We start from the raw sequence: 21398 nt of genomic DNA on the forward strand, positions 1-21398 counted from the left end.
ATTGCCTGGCAGGGAAGTTCCCCAGTTCCTCTGCAATTTGCACATGCTGCACATACTCAAACGGGAGGTGAGGCCATTAGCGAGGGAAATACGGAAGTCAGAAGTCTCTGAACAGACAAGGTGGCTCACGCCTGTAATCCCAGCACTTTGGGAGGCCGAGGTGGGCAGATCACCTGAGGTCGGGAGTTTGAGACCAGCCTGGCCAACATGGTGAAACCCCATCTCTACTAAAAATACAAAAATTAGCCGGGCATGGGGTGCGCCTGTAATCCCAGCTACTCAGGAGGCTGAGGCAGGAGAATTGCTTGAACTCGGGAGGTGGAGGTTACAGTGAGCCGAGATCGCACCACTGCACTCCAGCCTGGGCGACAGAGTGAGACTCGGTCTCAAAAAAAAAAAAAAAAAAAAAGAAAAAGAAAAGGAAGAAGAAGTCTCATGACTCCACGTAGCACACTCAGTTCCCACATGCCAGTGAGAGAATGGCAGCACATCAGAGTTGGGACTTTGAAGATCCTAGGCACCATCCTCTTCCCTACCCTTCCCATTGTACCGAGGAGGGAACTGAAGCCCAGAGAGGGCTGGGGGGCTGCCCAAGATCATGCAGCTAGTTTGAGTCAGAGGTGGGACTAGAATACGTGTCTCCAGGTGCAAAATCTATGCCTTTGTTCATGCTGCTTCTTTCTTGCACCTCATGAGAAGTCAGAGCCTATGTTGACAGAACCCAGCACTTCCTCACTCTGGCAGTGACAAGGAGAGAAAATGACTATTGCTGAATCACAGCTGTTTTCTTTTCTTTTCTTTTCTTTTTTCTTTTCTTTTCTTTTGAGATGCAGTCTTGCTCTGTCGCCCAGGCTGGAATGCAGTGCTGCAATCTCAGCTCACTGCAACCTCCACCTCCTGGGTTCAAGCCATTCTCCTGCCTCAGCCTCCCGAGTAGCTGGGTTTACAGGTACGCCACCACGCCTGGCTAATTTTTGTATTTTTAATACAGATGGGGTTTCGCCGTGTTGGCCAGGCTGGTCTCGAACTCCTGACCTCAAGTGATCCGCCAGCCTCAGCCTTCCAAAGTGCTGGGATTACAGGCATGAGCCACTGCACCCGGCCTACAGCTATTTTCTTTATCTTCTGTTTCTTTTTCTGCCAGATTATGTTGAAATATTGCCCAAAACAGTAAGCATGAACACCTTAGGAAAAAAACCGAACCCATCCACACACATTTTCTAGTAATCGGTTTGCATAGTGGTCTTTAATGTTACAGAGCTTGTCTTGGGGAAGATAAAATGGGACATTGTGATCTTCAATTTATTTCTCCTTATCCACATAACCAAAATGTGAACCTGCAGGGACAGGTGAGAGGCACTGATGTAGAGTGGACAGAACTGGAAGTTAGGAAACCTAGGTTTGTTGCACTGGACACCATCTCGTTTGTCTCCCTGAGCAAGTCTTGTCCACTGTCTGGGCCCATTTCCTCAACCAAACAACAAGGGCAGTTCTCAGTGATATCTAGGTCCCTTTTGCACCCTTGTTCTCCTCCCTCATAAGCTCTGCTTCTCCACTTAAAGCAGACATAGGGGCTGGGAGTGGTGGCTCACACCTGTAATCCTAGCACTTTGGGAGGCTAAGGTGGGTGGATCACTTGAAGTCAGGAGTTCAAGACCAGCCTGGCCAATATGGTGAAATTCCATCTCTACTAACAATACAAAAATTAGCTGGGCATGGTGGCGGGTACCTGTAATCCCAGCTACATGGGAGGCTAAGGCAGGAGAACTGCTTGAACCCAGGAGGCAGAGGTTGCAGTGAGCCAAGATTGCATGCCACTGCACTCCAACCTGGGTGACAGAGTGAGATTCTATGTCAAAAAAAAAAAAAAAAAAAAAAAAAGCAGAAATACAGTGTGGTTCTAAAAGAAGAGAAGTAGAAAGTGTGGAGTTGCGTTTGATCAAATGATTTTTAGAATCTAGTTTTATTCATTCAAGAAGTATTTACTCAGTGCTTGTTTGTGCCAGGCACTTGGGCATTTTCTTTGCCAAAATGAGAAAGGATTCCACCGATGAATAAAGAAAGGCATGCTTCAACTTTAAGGAATGACAGTATATAAACATGCAAATTCACTTTTAAACATTTATGCTACTTGTTTGCCTTACAAAAAGATTGGTGTCTGGATTAAAACAAGATTTGATTTTCCAAAACATACGTCAGAGCTTTTCAGAAACAGTTCAGTTCCACACATATTGACCAGATCCCTTCAGATGCTCTGCTGGGTCCTGACTGAGCACTGGGGATGCAGAGGTCAACCTGGAGCTCATCTTGTTGAGGGAGGATAAACTAGTGACTGCCACTCAACACAGCCCAGTGGGTGGACTTTGTTCCTGGGTCTGTACTGAGTTGAATAGTGTCCGCCTAAACTTCTTGTCCACCTGGAATCTGTGAATGTGACCTTATTTGGAAACAGGGTCTCTACAGATATAATTGGTTAAATTAAGATGAAGTCATACTATTAGGATTAGGGTGGGCCCAAATCCAGTGACTGATATTCTTTAAAAAAGACACCAGGCCGGGTATGGTGGCTCACGTCTGTAATCCCAGCAATTTAGGAGGCCAAGGTGGGCGGATCACTTGAGGTCAGGAGTTCAAGACCAGCCTGGGCAAGATGGTGAAACCCCATCTCTACTAAAAATACAAAAATTAGCTGAGTGTGGTGGCGGGTGCCTGTAGTCCCAGCTATTTGGGAGGCTGAGGCAGGAGAATCACTTGAACCTGAGAGGTGGAGGTTGCAGTGAGCCAAGATCATGTCACTGCACTCCTGCCTGGACAACAGAATGAGATTCCGTCTCAAAAAAAAAAAAAAAAAAAAAAAAGACACCAAGAGACACAGAGGAAATGCCATATGAAGACAGAGTCAGAGGTAGGAGTGATGTTTCCACAAGCCAAGGAATGACAGGGACTGCCAGAAGTTGAAAGAGTCAAGGAATAATTCTCCCCTTAAACTTTTGGAGGGAGCAGGGCCCTACCACATCTTGATTTTGACTTCTGGCCTCCAGAATTATGAGACAGTAAATTTCTGTTGATAAGCCACTGGATTTGTGAAATTTATTACAGGAGATTAATACGGGGCCATTTAATAAAATGGAGTATATTGAGAATCTACGATGAGTTAACTTTGCAGCAATCTGATGCTACAGATAGCTAATATTATCCCTAATGAGCAATAATCAAGCAGAATTTGACTGAACTAGGACAAAAGGTTAGTGGTTAAGAGGGCAGGCTTTGAAGTCAAACAGAACTAGGTTGGAGACCTCAGCTCTGGTACTTAGCAGGGTGACCTTAGACAAGTGACTTTGCATCTTTGAGGTTGCCACATCTGTAAAATGAAGATAACTAAGACCTTCTTATTAGGTTGTTGGGAAACATGAAGTGAAATAAGGCATTTAAAAACACTTAGCCCCCTGCCTGGCACATAGTAAAGGCTCAATAAAAGTGAGCCGGCACATGGTAGGTCTATCCTACCGTTTATTGAGTTAACTCAATTAATCCCTATTACATGACATGAACCTGCATATTTCCTTTGTTGTACTGCCTGTAATTATCTTCTTTATTGACTTATTGGCTGTCTTGCAAGCAGGATATAGACTGTAAGCCCCATGAGACAGGGGCACAGTCTCATTTATGGCTGGGTACTCAGGACCCTGCACAGAGCCTGGCTCATGTTTATGAGATGAATGAATAAGTGAATAGCTAGTGGATATTTTGTCTTGAAAGTATTAAACGAAGACATGTTTAACCAATATCTTTCATTTTATTCCATTTGAGGTCCCAAATAATTGCATTAGAATTCCTCTGCAATCTTCCTGCCGCCAACAATTTCTCTTGTTGGCTGTTTTAGGCTCCTCTGGGAGGAACCCAGCCTCCCTCATATGAAAAATGAGTACCCTGGGATCTATTTTATTTTATTTTTTTGAGACAGTCTTGCTCTGTCACCCAGGCTGGAGTGCAGTGGTGCAATCTCGGCTCACTGCAACCTCTGCCTCCAGGGTTCAAGCAATTCTCCTGTCTCAGCCTCCCGAGTAGCTGGGACTACAGGTGCCTGCCACCATGCCCTGCTAATTTTTGTATTTTTAGTAGAGACAGGGTTTCACCATATTGGTCAGGCTGGTCTCAAACTCCTGACCTCAGGTGATCCACCTGCCTTGGCCTCCCAAAGTGCTGGGATTACAGGCATGAGCTACCATGCCTGGCCCCTGAGATCTTTAAAATCATGGAGCTATATTCTAGCTGGGGTCAATAGACTGAAATGTCAGCCCCATACCTGGCATATAGGAAGGACATTTCCCCTCCTCCCACTTGCTCTGCTTATTATATGTAATAGGGGTGTGGAGGAGGCAAGGGAGCTGAATTGGGGGCAGATAGGGGAACAGTTTGGAGATTTATACAATCTTTGTGAATATCTTCCTTTTTTTCTTCGAGTTAGGTTAGACTAGGACATTGCCTGCTTCCAGCAGCACCACCAGGACTGCTGCTGGAAGGACTTCAGAGGGTCAAGAAAATTCTCCAAAGATTTTTGTGTCTCAGGCGATCCCAGCCTCCTCTGTATTTCCAGGGACCTGAGGTTACAGGTGGGGATTATCAGAATATCAGAGAGGGTCCTCGCCCAAACAACAGGATGCCCCAAACTGAAGGCTTGTCATTTATCTCTGAAAGAGGCAAGTCAACACCTTAATCCTCATCATAGCATAGTCCTCGGTCCTCAGTGGCAAGGGTGACTTGAAAGTGGGGCCTTTCATAGCTCCAGAGCCAAGGAGGCCTTGACAATTAGGCAGAGAGAAGACCTGGATGTCCATCCCATCTGATACCCTGACTTCCCAAGAGAACAACCCATTCTTCTCAGATTTCTCCCAAGTCCCTCATTGCTGGGCCTGGAGGCTCGCTTTGGCTCCTGTGGTCTCTGGAGGATGCAGGCATGAAGCCTGACCTGACTTGTACTGACCCTGTCCCAGGCCTTTTGTGTCTCGCCTACCTGGCTACTCCTCGTGGCCCTACCTATCCAACAGACTGTGTGCAGGTGGGCAAGGCCAGGCTGTCTTCCAGGAGTCAGTCCCAACACTCATCAGCAAAAAGGGGTCCGTGTCTAGGTGTCTGGGACTGGTTTAAGTAAGAAGAGAGTGCCAAGACCCCTCTCTCTCTTCCAGGGAGTGAACTGATTTCTGACTTGAGTTGTTTAAATTGGGAAGAGGCCTCATCAGCAATCAGAGAGGTCTAGATCTCTGGAATCTGGCCACGGAGTGATTTTCCCATCAGCCTCTGTCTCGGTGACTGAGGATCTCGGGGCTTCTTCTTTTGCCTCTGACCCAAGGCCCCTCACACACTTCTTCCAGTGAGCCAGGCAGTGATGGGCAGAGGAGCGGATCTCTCCACTCCGTAGAGCATAGATGACAGGGTTGACCATGGAGTTGATGAGGCACAGCATGGAGCAGAAAGCAAAGGCCTTCTTGACCTGGTCACTGAGCGTAGTGGCCAGGCTGTGGGCCATGAGGGCCAGCACTGGGAACCAACAGATGAGGAGCACAGCCAACACTAGCCCTAGGGTCTTGGCCAACCTCACATCCAGCCTCATTCGGGCCATTCCTGGCACCTGCCTGTCCTGGTGGCCAGACAAGCTGGCCACATGCTGATGGGCCTTCCAGAGAACATGCCCATAGGTGTAGATGATTCCGGAAAAGAGGAAGGCGATGAACAGGAGCCAGCTCAGCAGGTAGTCATTGGGGATCAGTGGGAAAAGCTCAGAGCAGGGCCTGGGACAGCAAGTCCATCCCATGAGGGGCAGGTAGGAGACTAGTGCTGAGAGGACCCACATGATGCCCAGGGTCACCAGTGCCCTTCCACGGGTGAGCAGAGCTTTGTAGGAAGGTGGATAGCGCAGGCAGAGGTATCGGTCAATGGCGGTCAGCAGGAGGCTACCCACAGAGGCTGTGAAGGTCATAGTCACGCTGCCAATCTTCAGCAGGAAGACAGCCTTGGAATCCACACCATGGAAAACATGGAAATTCACAAAGCTGCATGCAAAGACCACACTGGCCAGGAAGTCAGCCCCAGCCAAGCTGCCAATGAACAGGTATGAGGGCTTCCGGCGGAGTTGGTGGGAGGACAGGATCAGATAGAGCACAGCCACGTTCTCCAGGGCACTTAGCAGGCCCAGAAGAGTGCACAACACAGCAACAGCTGTCTTCTGGGGACCACTCAGGATCATGTAATCCTTCATAGGGTTGGAATCCAAGCCATCCTTGGAGCCATTGGCTATCTCTGTCACCCAGCATTCCTCCATGGGGTGGGCCCTTCAGATTCCACTGAGCTTGTCTAGAAGGCTTTGCTGCAGTACAATGAGAAGAAGAAAATAATCTTTTTCAGTAAGCACAAGAATGACCTCACCTGATAACTGACTGTAGCCAAAACTGCTACCTGTATGGATGGATTCTATGTGGGAAAATCAGTTTCTGTTTTGTTTGCCTGTATTTTGCCCTTTCTCCATCCAAGCAGGAAGCCAGATCTGTCCTGGCTGCCTCAGGGGAGGTACGTGGGAATGCAACAAGCAGAAGTGACTTGTGAGATTTTTGGCCTTCCATTTTCCAAAAGACTAATCCTAAGACTTCCTTTTGAAGCAAGGGAAATCCCAAAAGGTCAAAACCAAGAGGAAATCAAAACCAAGAAGAAATGGAATCTAGAGTGATAAGGTTGAGGGTTTTTTTGTTTGTTTTACATTTTGTTTTGTTAATTTGCCAATTTCGGCAAGTAAAGTACTGAAGTTTTAACAACTATTTGGGGATGGGATTTATGAATTTGGCTTAACATCAAGTGATGGGAAGAGAAAGTACAGAAGATTAAACAATTTATTTTATTTTAATTTTTATTTATTTATTTATTTATTTATTTTTGAGACAAAGTCTTGCTCTGTTGCCCAGGCTGGAGTGCAGTGGTGTGATCTCGGCTCACTGTAACCTCTGCCTCCCAGGCACAAGAGATTCTCCTGCCTCAGCCTCCCAAGTAGCTGGGACTACAGGCACCCACCACACCTGGCTAATTTTTGTACTTTTAGTAGAGACCGGGTTTCACCATGTTGGCCAGCTGGTCTCGAACTCCTGATCTGAGGTGATCCACCCACCTCAGCCTCCTAAAGTGCTGGAATTACAGGCATGAGCCACTGCGCCTGGCCAAAACATTTTATACTAGATAAAATATAGGAGTCCAGTTAAATTTGAATGTTGGCTGGGCACGGTGGTTCACGCCTGTAATCCCAACACTTGGGGAGGCTAAGGAAGGCGGATCATGAGGTCAGGAGATCGAGAACATCCTGGTTAACATGGTGAAACCCCGTCTCTACTAAAAATACAAAAAATTAGCTGGGCGTGATGGCACGTGCCTGTAGTCCCAGCTACTTGGGATGCTGAGGCAGGAGAATTGCTTGAACCCAGGAGGCAGAGGTTGCAGTGAGCCGAGACTGTGCCATTGCACTCCAGCCTGGGCGACAGAGCAAGACTCTGTCTCAAAAAAAAAAAAAAAAAAAAGATGAATGTCAATAAGAAGTAACTTTTTAGTATATGTCACAAATATTGAAGAAAAAACCCTCAGGAACCTAGATATTGTACGGTTTATTATTAGACATTATTAGAAAGCAAACTAAACATTTATTTGGAGCGATTCACTTTCTAAACAGGTTGTATAGGAATACCACATATAAAGGCCCGTGAAATTTGAGTTCACAATGCAAAATGCATAAGGAAACATGAGCAAGAGTCAGCAGAAACGTCAGACAGTAGAATTCCACTTTCAATAACTTCATATAATTCTTGGGTATACCTTAAAAAAAAAGTCTGATATAAAAACAATAAAGAATTAAAAACATGAGTACAGAATGAGAGATTGTTTCTGGGTAGATCTGAAAAAGATTCAAGTAGAATTTCTGGAAGTCAAAAATAAAATCATTGAAAAAAGAGATCCTTAAGGGATGAGTTAAAGAGCAAAACAGAACAACTGAAAAGCATTGATCTAGAACGTAGATCTGGTGGCCGGGCACGGTGGCTCACGCCTGTAATCCCAGCACTTTGGGAGGTCAAGGTGGGTGGATCATGAGGTCAGGAGATTGAGACCATCCTGGCTAACACGGTGAAACCTCGTCTCTACTAAAAATACAAAAAATTAGCTGGGCATGGTGGCAGGTGCCTGTAGTCTCAGCTACTCAGGAGGCTGAGGCAGGAGAATGGCGTGAACCCGGGAGGCGGAGCTTGCAGTGAGCCGAGAGCCGAGATGGCGCCACTGCACTCCAGCCTGGGCAACAGAGCAAGACTCCATCTCAAAAAAAATAAAAAGAAAAAAAAAGAAAGTAGATCTGGGGCTGGGCACAGTGGCTCACGCCTGTAATCCCAACATTTTGGGAGGCTGAAGTGATGGATCACCTGAGGTCAGGAGTTCAAGACTAGCCTGGCTAACATGATGAAACCCTGTCTCTACTAAAAATACAAAAATTAGCCGGGCACGATGGTGGACACCTGTAATGCCAGCTACTCAGGAGGCTGAGGCAGGAGAATCGCTTGAACCCCGGATGCAAAGATTGCAGTGAGCTGAGATCGCACCACTGCACAGCAGCCTGGGCGATAAGAGTGAAACTCCATCTCAAAAAAAAAAAAAAGAATGTAGCTCTGAAGAAATTTCTCACAATGCAGAACAAAGAGATAAAGTGATGGAAAACAAGAAAGAGAAGTTAAGAGTTATGAAGGATTGAGTAAAAATGTTTATATCTCAGAGGAGTGTTAGAGAGGATAAACAGAGAAAACTGGTGGTGGGCAATAGTCAAAGAGGTAGTAGTAAAGAATTATCCATCCAGCCTGGGCAACATGGGAAAACCCCATCTCTACAAAAAAATACAAAAATTAGCTGGATGGTGGTGCATGCCTATTGTCTCAGCTACTTGGGAGGCTGAGGTGGGAGGATCACTTGAGCCCAGGGAGGCCAAGGCTTCAGTGAGCCATGATCATGCCATTGCACTGCAGCCTGGGCAACAGAATGAGACCCTGCCTCAACAACAAAAAAGAATTATTCAGGATCCATGAAAAATAAGACTATTCAGATTTGGAAATCACAGGGAACCCAAAGCAGAATTTTTTTTTTTTTGAGACAGAGTTCCCAGGTTCAAGTGATTCTCCAGCTTCAGCCTCCTGACATAGCTGAGACTACAGGTGTGCACCACCATGCCCAGCTAATTTTTGTATTTTTAGTAGAAAAGGGGTTTTCCATGTTGGCCAGGCTGGGCTTGAACTCCTGGCCTCAGGTGATATGCCCACCTCGGCCTCCCAAAGTGCTGGGATTATAGGCGTGAGCCACCACACCCAGCCCCAAGTAGAATTTTTAAAAACACATTCCATGTTCATGTATATCATATAGCATACATATCAGAATACCAAAGACAAAGAAAAATATAAGGCAGTAAGAATGAAAAGCCAAATTACCTGTAAGAGAACCATAATTAATTTTAAGAGCAGATTTCTGATCAGCAACAATAGAAGCCAAAAAATAAAGAAAAAACTGTCAGTCTAGAATTTTATACCCAGCTAAACTATCATTCAAGAATGAGGTCTAAAAAATTCAAAGAAAATTGTTCACTAACAGACTTTCACTGAAGGAACATCTAAAGAATGTGCATTTTAGAAGGAAATTCAACCCAAAGGGAAGAAAAGAACGGCAAGAAAGAATAGTGAGCAAGTAAGTTGACAAATATGAGTAAAGAAAAGCAAATGGCTTTATAAAACAACAATGATAATAGTGAGTAATTTATGCCCATCTTTACTAAAAACACAAAAATTAGCCAGGCGTGGTGGTGTGCACCTGTAGTCCCAGCTACTCAGGAGACTGAGGCAGGAGAATTGCTTGAACCTGGGAGGCAGAGGTTGCAGTGAGCCGAGATCATGCCACTGCACTCCAGCCTGGGTGACAGAGTGAGACTCTGTTTCAAAAAACAAAACAAAACAAACAAACAAAACCAAAGTGGAGACTGGGCACAGTGGCTCATGCCTGAAATCCTGGCACTTTGGGAGTCCAAGGCAGGAGGATTGCTTGAGCCCAGGAGTTCAAGACCAGCCTAAGCAACATGGTGAAACCCATCTCTACAAGACATAAAAATTTAGCCAGGCGTGGTGACATATGCCTGTATTCCCATTTACCTGGGAGGCTGAGGTCAAAGGATTACTTCAGCCCAGGTGGTCCAGTGTGCAGTGATCTATGATTGTGCCACCACACTCCAGTGTGGGTGACAGAATGAGACCTTGTTTCAAACAAAAACAAAAACAAAGTAGAAATAAAATTGTGAATGACAAAAATGCAAGACAAGAAAGAGATGAATAGAGTTAAAGCTTTATCTAGGAAGTGGGTAAAGACATTGATTAATTTTAGGCTTAAAAAAAAAACCAGGCATCATCTCTTATCTGGTTTATTGCAATAGCTTCCTAACTGGGCCCCCTGCTTTTAATCAGGCCCATTTCTAATCTAGTTTCAACATAGCAGTCAGGGTGATCCTTTAAAAATATAGGATCTTGTCATTTCTCTGTCCCAAACCCTGCATAGCTCCCTAGTCCACTATGTAAAAGCCAAAGTCCTTAGTGTTATGGTCCCTTCTACCATGATTCCCTTGGTGACCCAGCTTTAGCCACATTGGCTTCTTAATCAGTCTTCTCTTCAGCCACAGGTCCTTTGCACTGGCTGTTCCCTTTTCCTGGATCACCTTTCCCTCAACATTTACTTGGCTTGCTCTCACCTTGTTTAAGTCTTTGCCCAGATCTTACTTTTTCAATGACACCTACCCTGACTACCCCATGTAATACCCTAACTCATCCCAACTTCCAACTCTTTTTTTTTTGAGACGGAGTCTCACTCTGTCACCTAGGCTGGAGTGCAGTGGCACAATCTCGGCTCACTGCAACCTCCGCCTCCCAGGTTGAAGCCTTTCTCTTGCCTCAGCCTCCCGAGTAGCTGGGACTACAGGCGCATACTACCATGCCCGGCTAAGTTTTCATATTTTTAGTAGAGACGGGGTTTCACCGTGTTAGTCAGGCTGGTCTTGATCTGACCTCGTGATCTGCCCGCCTTAGCCTCCCAAAGTGCTGGGATTACAGGCATGAGCCACTGCACCTAGCCCAACCTCCAGCTCTTTTGCTTTTCTTTACACTGACCTCGTCTTTATTTTTTCCATACCACTATCACCTTCTAATATATAAAATGTATTATTTTTAGTTTTTATTTTTTTGAGATGGAGTTTCACTCTTGTCACCCAGGCTGGAGTGCAATGGCGCGATCTTGGCTCATTGCAACCTCCGCCTCCAGGGTTCAAGTGATTCTCCTGCTTCAGCTTCCTGAGTAGCTGGGATTACAGGTGCCTGCCACCAGGCATGGCTTTTTTTAATATATATATTTTTAGTAGAGATGGCGTTTCACCATGTTGGCCAGGCTGGTCTCAAACTCCTGACCTCACGTAAAGTGCTGGGATCACAGATGTGAGCCACCACACCCAGCCTATAGTTTATATATGTAATTTAAATATAAATTAACATATTACATATAATTTAAATATAATTATAAATATAAATTAATATAAAATGATCTGTTGTATAAAATTGTATTCTGACCACATAAAATTTATTTAGAAATTAATAATTAAGGCTGGGCGTGGTGGCTTACACCTGTAATCCCAGCACTTTGGGAGACCAAGGCGGGCAGATCACCTGAGGTCAAGAGTTAGAGACCAGCCTGGCCAACATGGTGAAACTCCATCTCTACTAAAAATACAAAAATCAGCTGGGCATGGTGGCAGGCACCTGTAATCCCAGCTACTCGGGAGGCTGAGGCAGGAGAATCGCTTGAACCCAGGAGGCGGAGTTTGCAGTGAGCCAAAATCACACCATTGCACTCCAGCCTGGGTGACAGAGTGAGACTCCGTCTCAAAAAATATATGTAATAATAATAATTTTAAAAAATTACTGGTTGGGCATGGTGGCTCATGCCTATAATCCCAACACTTTGAGAGGCCGAGGCGGGCAGATCACATGAGGCCAGGAGTTTGAGACCAGCCTGTCTCTAATAAACCCCATCTCTACTAAAAATACAAAAATTAACCAGGCCTGGTGGTGCACACCTGTAATCCCAGCTACTGAGGTGGTTGAGGCAGGAGAATCGTTTGAACCTAGGAGGCGGAGGCTGCAATGAGCATCACTACACTCCAGCCTGGGCAACAGAGTGAAACCCTGTCTCAAAAAAAGAAAAAAAAAATTGCTAGGCCGGGCATGGTGGCTCACACCTGTAATCCCAGCCCTTTGGAGGCCGAGGCGGGCGGATCACCTGAGGTAGGGAGTTCGAGATCAGCCTGACCAACGTGAAGAAACCTCGTCTCTACTAAAAATACAAAAAATTAGCTGGGCATGGTGGTGCCTGCCTGTGATTCCAGCTAGTCGGGAGGCTGAGGCAGGAGAATCGCTTGAACTTGGGAAGGCGGAGGTTTCGGTGAGCCAAGATCGTGCCATTGCACTCCAGCCTGGGCAACGAGAGCGAAACTTTGTCTTTAAAAAAAAAAATTACTAACAAAGTTCATAGGTATGGATCTTTTTCTTGAGATGGAGTCTCACTGTTGTGCCCAGGCTGGAGTGCAGTGGAGCAGTCTTGGCTCACTGCAACCTCCACCTCCCAGGTTCAAGCGATTCTCCTGCCTCAGCCTCCCAAGTAGCTGGGATTACAGGTGCCTGCCACCACGACCAGCTAATTTTTTGTATTTTTAGTAGAGATGGGGTTTCACCATACTGGCCAGGCTGGTCTCGAACTCTTGACCTCAGGTTATCTGCCCACCTTGGCCTTCCAAAGTGCTGGGATTATAGGCATGAGCTACCGTGCCTGGCCTCAGGTATGGATCTTTAAAAACACACTTCGGGATCCCTTCGTAGTTCATAAGCGTGATGACTGGTTTTCACGCTCACGTGTGAGATGTTCCTCAAACCTATGATGACATTGTCACGTTACCAGTCTGATGTGTGAAAAAAGAAAAAAAGACACACTTTTGAACAATTCCTGGGTCAAAAATTCATAAAGGCGATTAGAAGATACTTGGCATTGAATGACTACGAAATTGTGAGACATTAAAATGTGTGAGATTCATCTGAGTCGTATGCAAAGGGAAATTTACAGCTCTAAATGCTGATACTATCAGGTGCGGTGGCTTACACCTGTAATCCCAGCACTTTGGGAGGCCAAGGCGGGTGGATCACCTGAGGTCAGGAGTTTCAGACTAGCCTAGCCAACATGGTGAAACCCCGCCTCTACTAAAAATACAAAAAAAAAAAAAAAAAAAATTAGCCCGCATGATGGCTGGTGCCTATAATCCCAGCTACTTGGGAGGCAGAGGCAGGAGAATCGCTTGAACCTGGGAGGCGGAGGTTTCAGTGAACCAAGATTGTGCCACTGCACTCCAGCCTGGACAACAGAGCGAGACTCTGTTCTCAATAAATAAATTAATAATAAACGCTCATACTACAAGATAAAAAAGCCTCATGAGCTCATCATGCAACTCATGAAATTAGAAGAAGGGCCATGGCATACATTCAAAGAAAGCAGAAGACAGAAATAATAAGAGCAGAAATTAATGACATGGCAAAACTATAGGGAAGAGAAAGAACTGACAAAGTCAAAGCTGGCTGTTTGAAAAGATTATAAAATAGATGACCACAGGCAAGATTACTAAAGGAAAAAGGAGAGCAACCACAATGAAGAAAAATACAGGGCATGAGAGAGAAATGGTCAATAATCCTTTGAAAAGATGCGTAACCTCAATAGTAGACAGAGAAATGTGTTTCACTCCCATCAGATCGGTAAAAAAGTAAGGCTGACAATACTGAGTGCTGGAGAAGGCGTGGAGCCAAAAGAACTCTCATTGCGATGGGGGTGTAAGTTGACACAGACACTTTGAAGAGCAGCTTGGCAAAATCTGGTGAAGTTGACGATACATCAATTGCAGTCCCGGGAATACGTTCTGGAGGAACTCCTGCAGGTGCGTCCAGGGAGGCATGTACAAGAATGTTCTCTTTGGCATTTTTGAAATAGAAGAACAATTCTAAATGTCCATCAACTGGAAAATGGATAAATAAGTTGTAATACAGCCATACGAAGGAATACCACAAAGTGGTGAAAACGTGCCAACAATGATGAATCTTAAAAACAGTGTTAGGCCGGGCGTGGTAGCTCATGCTTGTAATCCTAGCACTTTGGGAGGCCGAAACAGGCGAATTGCCTGAGCTCAGGAGCTCAAGACCAGCCTTGGCAACACGGTGAAACCCTGTCTCTACTAAAATACAAAAAATTAGCCAGGCATGGTGGTGTGCGCCTGTAGTCCCACCTACTTGGGAGGCTGAGGCAGGAGAATCGCTTGAACCCGGGAGGCGGAGGTTGCAGTGAGCTGAGATTGCACCACTGCACTCCAGTCTGGGTGACAGAGCAAGACTCCATCTCCAAAAAACAAACAAACAACAAAAAAACAAAAACAAAAAAACCCCCCACAGTGTTGGGCCAATCCCTTGTAAAGCCTAATCCTTAAGGAGAGTTTAGAGGATTTATGAGTAGATAAAAGTGAAGAGAACTTGCAGGCAGGAATATAACATTTTAGAGAATCTGGAGGGATTTTCCCCAGACTGGAGTTGAAAACCGAGCCTTGCCTGAGGCAAAAGGAAAAATCTGTGCCTCTCTATAGACATCTTTATGTCTTTTTTTGTTTTTGTTTTTTTTGAGACAGAGTCTCACTCTGTCGCCCAGGCTGGAGTGCAGTGGCACAATCTCGGCTCACTGCAAACTCTGCCTCCCGAGTTAAAGCGATTCTTGTGCCTCAGCCTCCCGAGTAGCTGGGATTACAGGCACCTGCCACCATGCCTGGCTAATTTTTGTATTTTTAGTAGAGACGGGGTTGTTGGTCAGGCTGGTCTCGAACTCCTGGCTTCAAGTGATCTGCGCGCCTTGGCCTCCCAAAGTGCTGGGATTCCAGGCTGGAGTGTAGTGGCGCGATCTCGGCTCACTGCAGCCTCTGCCTCCTGGGTTCAACCGATTCTCATGCCTCAGCCTCCCAAGTAGCTGGGATTACAGGCACACACCACCACACCTAGCTAATTTTTGTATTTTTAGCAGAGACGGGGTTTCACCATGTTGGCCAGGCTGGTATCGAACTCCTGACCTCAAATGATCCACCCGATTCAGCCTCCCAAAGTGCTGGGATTACAAGTGTGAGCCACCATGCCCAGCTGACCATCTAGTTTAATCCCCGCAACTCTATGATATTAGAGTTATGCTTATTGCTATTTCACAGATAATAAAAGGTCGGCAATGTTAAAGCATTGGGCTGAGGCCACACGGCTGGTCGAGGTCAGAACTAAGGCTTTATTATTTCTGGACCTTTAGTGGCTCAGCACAATGCTTGCTGCATAGCAGGTGCTCAAAAACAATTTTTTTTTTTTTTGAGATAGAGTCTCACTCTGTCGCCCAGGCTGGAGTGCAGTGGCATGATCTCAACTCACTGCAACCTCCACCTTCCGAGTTCAAGCGGTTCTCCGGCCTCAGCCTCCCGAGTAGCTGGGATCACAGGCGTCTGCCACTGTGCCTGGCTAATTTTTTGTGTTTTTAGTAGAGGTGGGGTTTCACCATCTTGGCCATGCTGGTCTTGAACTCCTGACCTCGTGATCCACCCACCTCGGCCTCCCAAAATGCTGGGGTTACAGGCATGAGCCACCATGCCCGGCCTCAAAAACTATTAACTGAGGCTGGGTACAGTGGCTCACACCAGTAATCACGGAGTTCTGGGAGGTTGAAATGGGAGGATCCCTTGAGCCCGGGAGTTGGAGGCTGCAGTGAGCTATGGTCATGCTACTGCACTCCAGCCTGGTTGACAGAGAAAGACCACCATCTCCTTAAAAAAAAAAAAAAGCTATTAATTAATGAAATGCACTTGGATGGAAAGGGGCTGTCTTGAATACTGTAGACCCCAAGTATGAGTGTGAGGGAGATGGGAACAAACCATGTAGGTTTAAATCCTACCCAGTGACCTCTTTCAAAATACCTAATGCTTTGGTCTTCTCATTTCTCATCTGTAAAATGGGGTTTTCTGAGTATTTAAATAAATTACTATCATACATGGAAGTGTTCATTGTTGCCACTGTTGTGATTATTATTATTCTTAGGCACATCTTCAAATGGGGTTAGTTCACCTACTCTGTGAGGTTGCTAAGAATGATATGCCTGGGCCGGGCGCGGCGGCTCACACCTGTAATCCCAGCACTCTGGGAGGCTGAAGCAGGTGGATCACGAGATCAGGAGTTTGAGACCAGCTCAGCCAACATGGTGAAACACTGTCTCTACTAAAACTACAAAAATTGACCAGGCGTGGTGGCGTGCGCCTGTAATCCCAGCTACTCAGGAAGCTGAGGCAGGAGAATCACTTGAACCCAGGAGGCGGAGGTTGCAGTGAGCTGAGATTGCGCCACTGTACTGCAGCCTGGGCGACATAGCGAGAATCTGTCCTAGGAAAGAAAAAGGGTGGCGGCGGGGGGGTGGCCAGGCACGGTGGCTCACACCTGTAATCCCAGCACTCTGGGAGACCAAGGCAGGCAGATCACAAGGTCAGGAGTTTGAGACCAACCTGGCCAACATGGTGAAACACCGTCTCTACTAAAAATACAAAAATTAGCTGGGTGTGGTGGCGCACACCTGTAATCCCAGCTAACTCAGGAAGCTGAGGCAGGAGAATCACTTGAACCTGGGAGGCAGAGATTTCAGTGAGCCAAGATTGCACCACTGCACTCCAGCCTGGGTGACAGGGCGAGACTCTATTTCAAAAAAAAAAAAAAAAAGAATAATATGCCTGGTGCATTATAAGAGCTCAATAAATGTCAGTTCTTATTACAACCCAACGACTTTAAAATTTTTAAGAGGATAGGTGCTTCTTGCAATCTGCATAACCCCTGTTTATAAAACAGGTAGATACGGCCCTGTCTAGAAGCCAGGGGCTCTGACTCCGAAAGGGATTTCTATCTGTCGAAAGGGAAGACAGGGAGCTGGGTTTCCTGTTGCTCTGTGCGTCCTGACGTTGGCTTGTTAAGACCTGCATCCAAATGCCCATATTTCCTGCCCTTACCTACTTTGGTTAATAACCACGCATGTTGGTGGCCATGCCGGGGCTAGGTGAGGCCCAAAGCCAGCCACCGCCACCCCCAACATCCCTCTTCTAGGGTGGATTCTACATGGAGTAAGCCATATCTTGACTGCAGGGGGATTCATATCACTATGTCCTTTCTTCAAGGCAGCCCAGGTTCCTCTAGGAACAGATTGAAAAACCTCTCTTCTAATCCAACGCCATCATTTTGCCATCCAGAAAACAGTCCAAGAATGGGGATATAATTTGCCTAAGGTCACCCAACATATGAGCAGCAGAGCTGCAATTATCCACATATCCCGAGTCACAAGGCAAAACTCCAGTGCAATAGGCATAGAGATGGCCCTATGCAGAGAAGTTGGAGACAGACACCCTTTGCGGTTTTTTTGTTTTTTTTGTTTTTTATTTTTGTTTTTGAGGCAGAGTCTTGCTCTGTTGCCCAGGCTAGAGTGCAGTGGCACAATCTCGGCTCACTGCAACTTGTGCCTCCCGGGTTCAAGTGATTCTCCTGCCTCAGCCTCCCAAGTAGCTGGAATTACAGGTGCACGCCACCATGCCTGGTTAATTTTTGTATTTTTAATTGAGACAGGGTTTTGCCATGTTGGCCAGGCTGGTAACCTTTGTTGAGTGTTGTCAAGGTCACACCTGAGCTCAGACAGAAAAAGGTGCCAGCTCACCTCTCCACCCTGGTCACTAGTGAGTGACAGACAGTGCAAGCCTTTCTCAGCTCCCACATCCCCACTTGGCTACTTCTGAAAGTTTCCAGCTCAGGGGGCTAAGAGGATCCCTGCAACCCTGCTAGGAACCCCCTGCCCCATCACCTGCCACCCAGGGACTCTCTTCCCTTGTTTCCCTTGGAAAACAACCCCTTCCAGTCAGGAAATGGCTCACCCCATGTAGAATTCAGCCTAGAAGAGGGATGCTGGGGCTGATGGAGGCTGGCTTCAGGTCTCATCTAGGCCTGGCATGGCCACCAACATGTGTGGTTATTATCCAAAGTAGATAAGGGAAAGAAATTCAGGCATTTGGATGCAGGTCTTAACAAGCCAGCATCTGACAATGGGACACACAGAGCAACGGGAAACCCAGCTCACTGTCTTCCCTTTGGACAGCTATAAATCCCTTTTGGAGTCAGAATCTCTGGCTTCTAGACAGGGCCTTTTTCCAGGGTGAAGACTGTGTCTGAACATCCAGCACAGAGATGAAGTAGGAAATTAAGAAAATAACAGAATAATGGTATAAGTAATAATAGTAAAAATTATAGTAATAGTTAAAAAAGCTCATAAAATAAATTGCTATATTAACCAAGGCTAAAAAAAAAATTTAAGTAGCCCCCCGAAGTTAAAGTTAAAAAAAAAAAATTAACCGTCTGTCCCAAGAAACATTAACCATATCTACCCTCCACATATTTTGTAGGCTCCTTAAACTCCTGCTTCTTTCTCCCCTGCACAGCTGCAAGGTCACAAGACAAATAAGCATAAGCTGCAAACCAAGTTTTCCCAGAGATGTAAGACATGTTGCAAAAGTGTCACAACAGCCTTTATTCTTGCTCTTGTAAGCCTGCTTCCTGCTTCACATAATGCCCACCTCAAAATGCTTAAAGGGGACTCGTTTTCTTTGTCCTGGGCTCAGACTTTCAGGACACATGTCCACTGAGCCAGTGTACACCTTAAATAGACACTTTCCTGCACTCCGTTCGGTCTCTCTGGTTCCTTAATTTCCCACAACAGAGACAGACTTAGTGTTTGCCACAGTGAAGAGTGTTCTAGTTCCACCTCCACCATGGCTCATCAGGTGACTTTGGGCAAGTCCCTTCAACATTCTGAGCCCCTTTTCTTTTCTCATTTGTAAAATGACAGTAACAATACCTATGCCATTCTCCTTGAGATGCCAAATGGGCTGATGACCTCCATCATAGCTTCTTACCCTGGGTCCATGGGTAGGCTTGGATGGGAGTATCGGTCCTTTCGAGGCATATTTAAGACTTTATGTCTGTGCATGTTTTGGTTGGGGTAGAAGGATTCACACTTTTTATCAGTGTGCCAGCAGAGTTCTGAATATTAAGAATCACCGATGCATGCAAAAACATTTTGTGACCTGATGCTGTACAGATGTAAGAGTAAAAGAGAAGCGGGAGTCTTTCTGAACCTATTCTGGGCTGCCTGATTAAAAAAGAAAAAAGGCCAGGCGCGGTGGCTCACGCCTGTAATCCCAGCACTTTGGGAGGCCGAGGAGGGCAGATCACTTGAGGTCAGGAGTTTGAGACCAGCCTGGCCAACACGGTGAAACCCTGTCTACTAAAAATACAAAAATTAGCCAGGAGTGGGGGCAGGTGCCTGTAATCCCAGCTATTCGGGAGGCTGAAGTACGAGAATCACTTGAACCCAGGAGGCAGAGGTTGCAGTGAGCTGAGATTGCGCCACTGCACTCCAGCCTGGGCAATAAAGCTAGATTCAGTTTAAAAAAATAAATAAATAAATAAAGAAGAAGAAAAAGAAAAAAGTGAACCACCATGACCAAGTCCTTTCTTCACCTAACAAAAATACCACTGTTCAGAAACCATATGGCACTTCACATAGGGAGCGTCCATGGTGGGGCTGGTGTTAGGGGCTGCAGCCTACAGCCTGGTTCATACTGAGCATCTGGGAAGGGAAACTTGGGACCTGAGAACCTGCTCAGAAAAGGTGTGCCTGGGGGTTTTTCTAACCTGAAGTGAAAGCGTGAAGTGAAAGAAGCCACAGTAGCGGCTGGTCCCACGTTGCTGCTGGGTTTAAATCTCTCAGAGCTGGAGGTAAGGAAGAGAATGATACCCTGCCTGTGGCTACCACACCTACAGTGGGAAGCTGAGATTTGATGCCACAAGCCTCACCGTTTTTATCCCCAACTGGGAGTAGGGAAGCCTAGGTTCTAGTCCTTGTCCTGCTACTGAGTGACTTTAGGCAGGTCCCTTTTCCTATCTAAGGCCTTTCTTTTCTTTCTTTGATTTCTATTAAAAAAATATAGATAGTGTCTTGCTATATTGCTCAGGCTGGTCTCAAACTCCTGGCCTCAAGCAGTCCTTCCACCTCAGCCTCCCAAAATGTTGGGATTATAGACATGAGCCACCTTGCCTGACCATCCGGGCCTTTCTTTTCTCATCTTCAAAGCAGTTGGATTGATGGAGGTGATTCCCAAGGTCTCCTCGAGGAAACTTAGCATGTTGGATCACAATGTCACAGGTTTGGGAACCAGACCTTCCTGGATTAAAATTCAGCTCTGCAACTTTCAGGATGTGTGACCTTGGGCACCTTACTGCACCTCTCTGAGCCTCTGTTTCATTCACTTGTAAACTGGGAGAAATACTATCCATATCACATGATTATACAGATTAATGATACAAGTTTACCAAATTCATGTCACTGTACCTGGTTTACAGTAGGTATCTAATCAAAGGCAGGAGATGCTTAATAGAGTTAGTTTATAGTGTTCTTACAGGATTCTGTGCCAGGCATGGGGGCTCTGCCTGTAATCCCAGCACTTTGGGAGGCAGAGACAGGTGGATTATTTGAGCCCAGGAATAGCCTGGCCAACATGGTAAAACCCCATCTCTACAAAAAATACAAAAATTAGCTGGGCATGGTGCATGTATGTAGTCCCAGCTACTGGGGAGACTGAGGCAGGAGAATCACTTGAGCCCAGGAAGTCACGGCTGCAGTAAGCAGTGATTGTTCCACTGTGCTCTAGCCCGGGCTACAGAGTGAGACCTTGTCTCAAAAAAAAAAAAAAAAGAAAAGAAAAGAAAAGAAGAAGAAGAAAAGGATTCTGTCCTCCAGCTATGCCTGACCTTCGCCTGAGAGCCAAGGCAGATAGAACAATCCCTACTTACTCTCAGCTGACACTTTGCCACCACTGAGGACAAACCACCACATTTTGGAAAACTTGTTCAACCTGCAAGAATGACCCATCAGAAACAGACCCGCTGGGCGAGGTGGCTCACGCTTATAATCCCAGCACTTTGGGAGGCCGAGGCAGGCAGATCACCTGAGGTCCGGAGTTTGAGACCAGACTGGCCAACATGGTGAAACCCCATCTCTACTAAAAATACAAAATTAGCCGGGCGTGGTGGTGCACTCTTGTAATCCCAGCTACTCGGGAGGCTGAGGCAAGAGAATTGCTTGAATCCGGGAGGCGAAGTTTGCAGTGAGCCGAG

General features: G+C 46.1%; 1 protein-coding gene and 1 pseudogene across 4 annotated transcripts in view, besides 2 other annotated features; one reads left to right on the forward strand and one right to left on the reverse strand.

Moving 5' to 3' along the window:
• CNR2 (cannabinoid receptor 2) overlaps positions 1217–21398 on the reverse strand; it is a 42848-nt gene continuing 22666 nt past the window's right edge. The window contains exons 1-3 of one of the 4 annotated variants that reach the window (XM_017000261.3): positions 13847–14299; positions 10206–10306; positions 1217–6364 (exon numbers count right to left, since the gene is read on the reverse strand). In XM_017000261.3, coding sequence (XP_016855750.1) covers positions 5237–6319 — 1083 coding nt within the window. In that variant the 5' untranslated portion in view covers positions 6320–6364; positions 10206–10306; positions 13847–14299 and the 3' untranslated portion in view covers positions 1217–5236. Of the gene's footprint in view, positions 6365–10205; positions 10307–13846; positions 14300–19077; positions 21225–21398 lie in introns of those variants that run through there. The other 3 variants (XM_011540629.4, XM_047444833.1, NM_001841.3) reach the window with 3 other exon arrangements.
• On the forward strand, positions 12957–13054 carry LOC124904841 (uncharacterized; annotated as a pseudogene).
• Positions 18976–19205: an enhancer, noted in NCBI's record as "active region_378". NCBI's record gives its function as "activates an Ori minimal core promoter by ATAC-STARR-seq in GM12878 lymphoblastoid cells {active_cell/tissue: GM12878}" and the evidence as "EXISTENCE:reporter gene assay evidence [ECO:0000049][PMID:35858748]".
• Positions 19706–19815: an enhancer, noted in NCBI's record as "active region_379". NCBI's record gives its function as "activates an Ori minimal core promoter by ATAC-STARR-seq in GM12878 lymphoblastoid cells {active_cell/tissue: GM12878}" and the evidence as "EXISTENCE:reporter gene assay evidence [ECO:0000049][PMID:35858748]".

Source organism: Homo sapiens, chromosome 1 (assembly GCF_000001405.40).
Source record: "Homo sapiens chromosome 1, GRCh38.p14 Primary Assembly".
NCBI classification, from domain to species: Eukaryota; Metazoa; Chordata; class Mammalia; order Primates; family Hominidae; genus Homo; species Homo sapiens.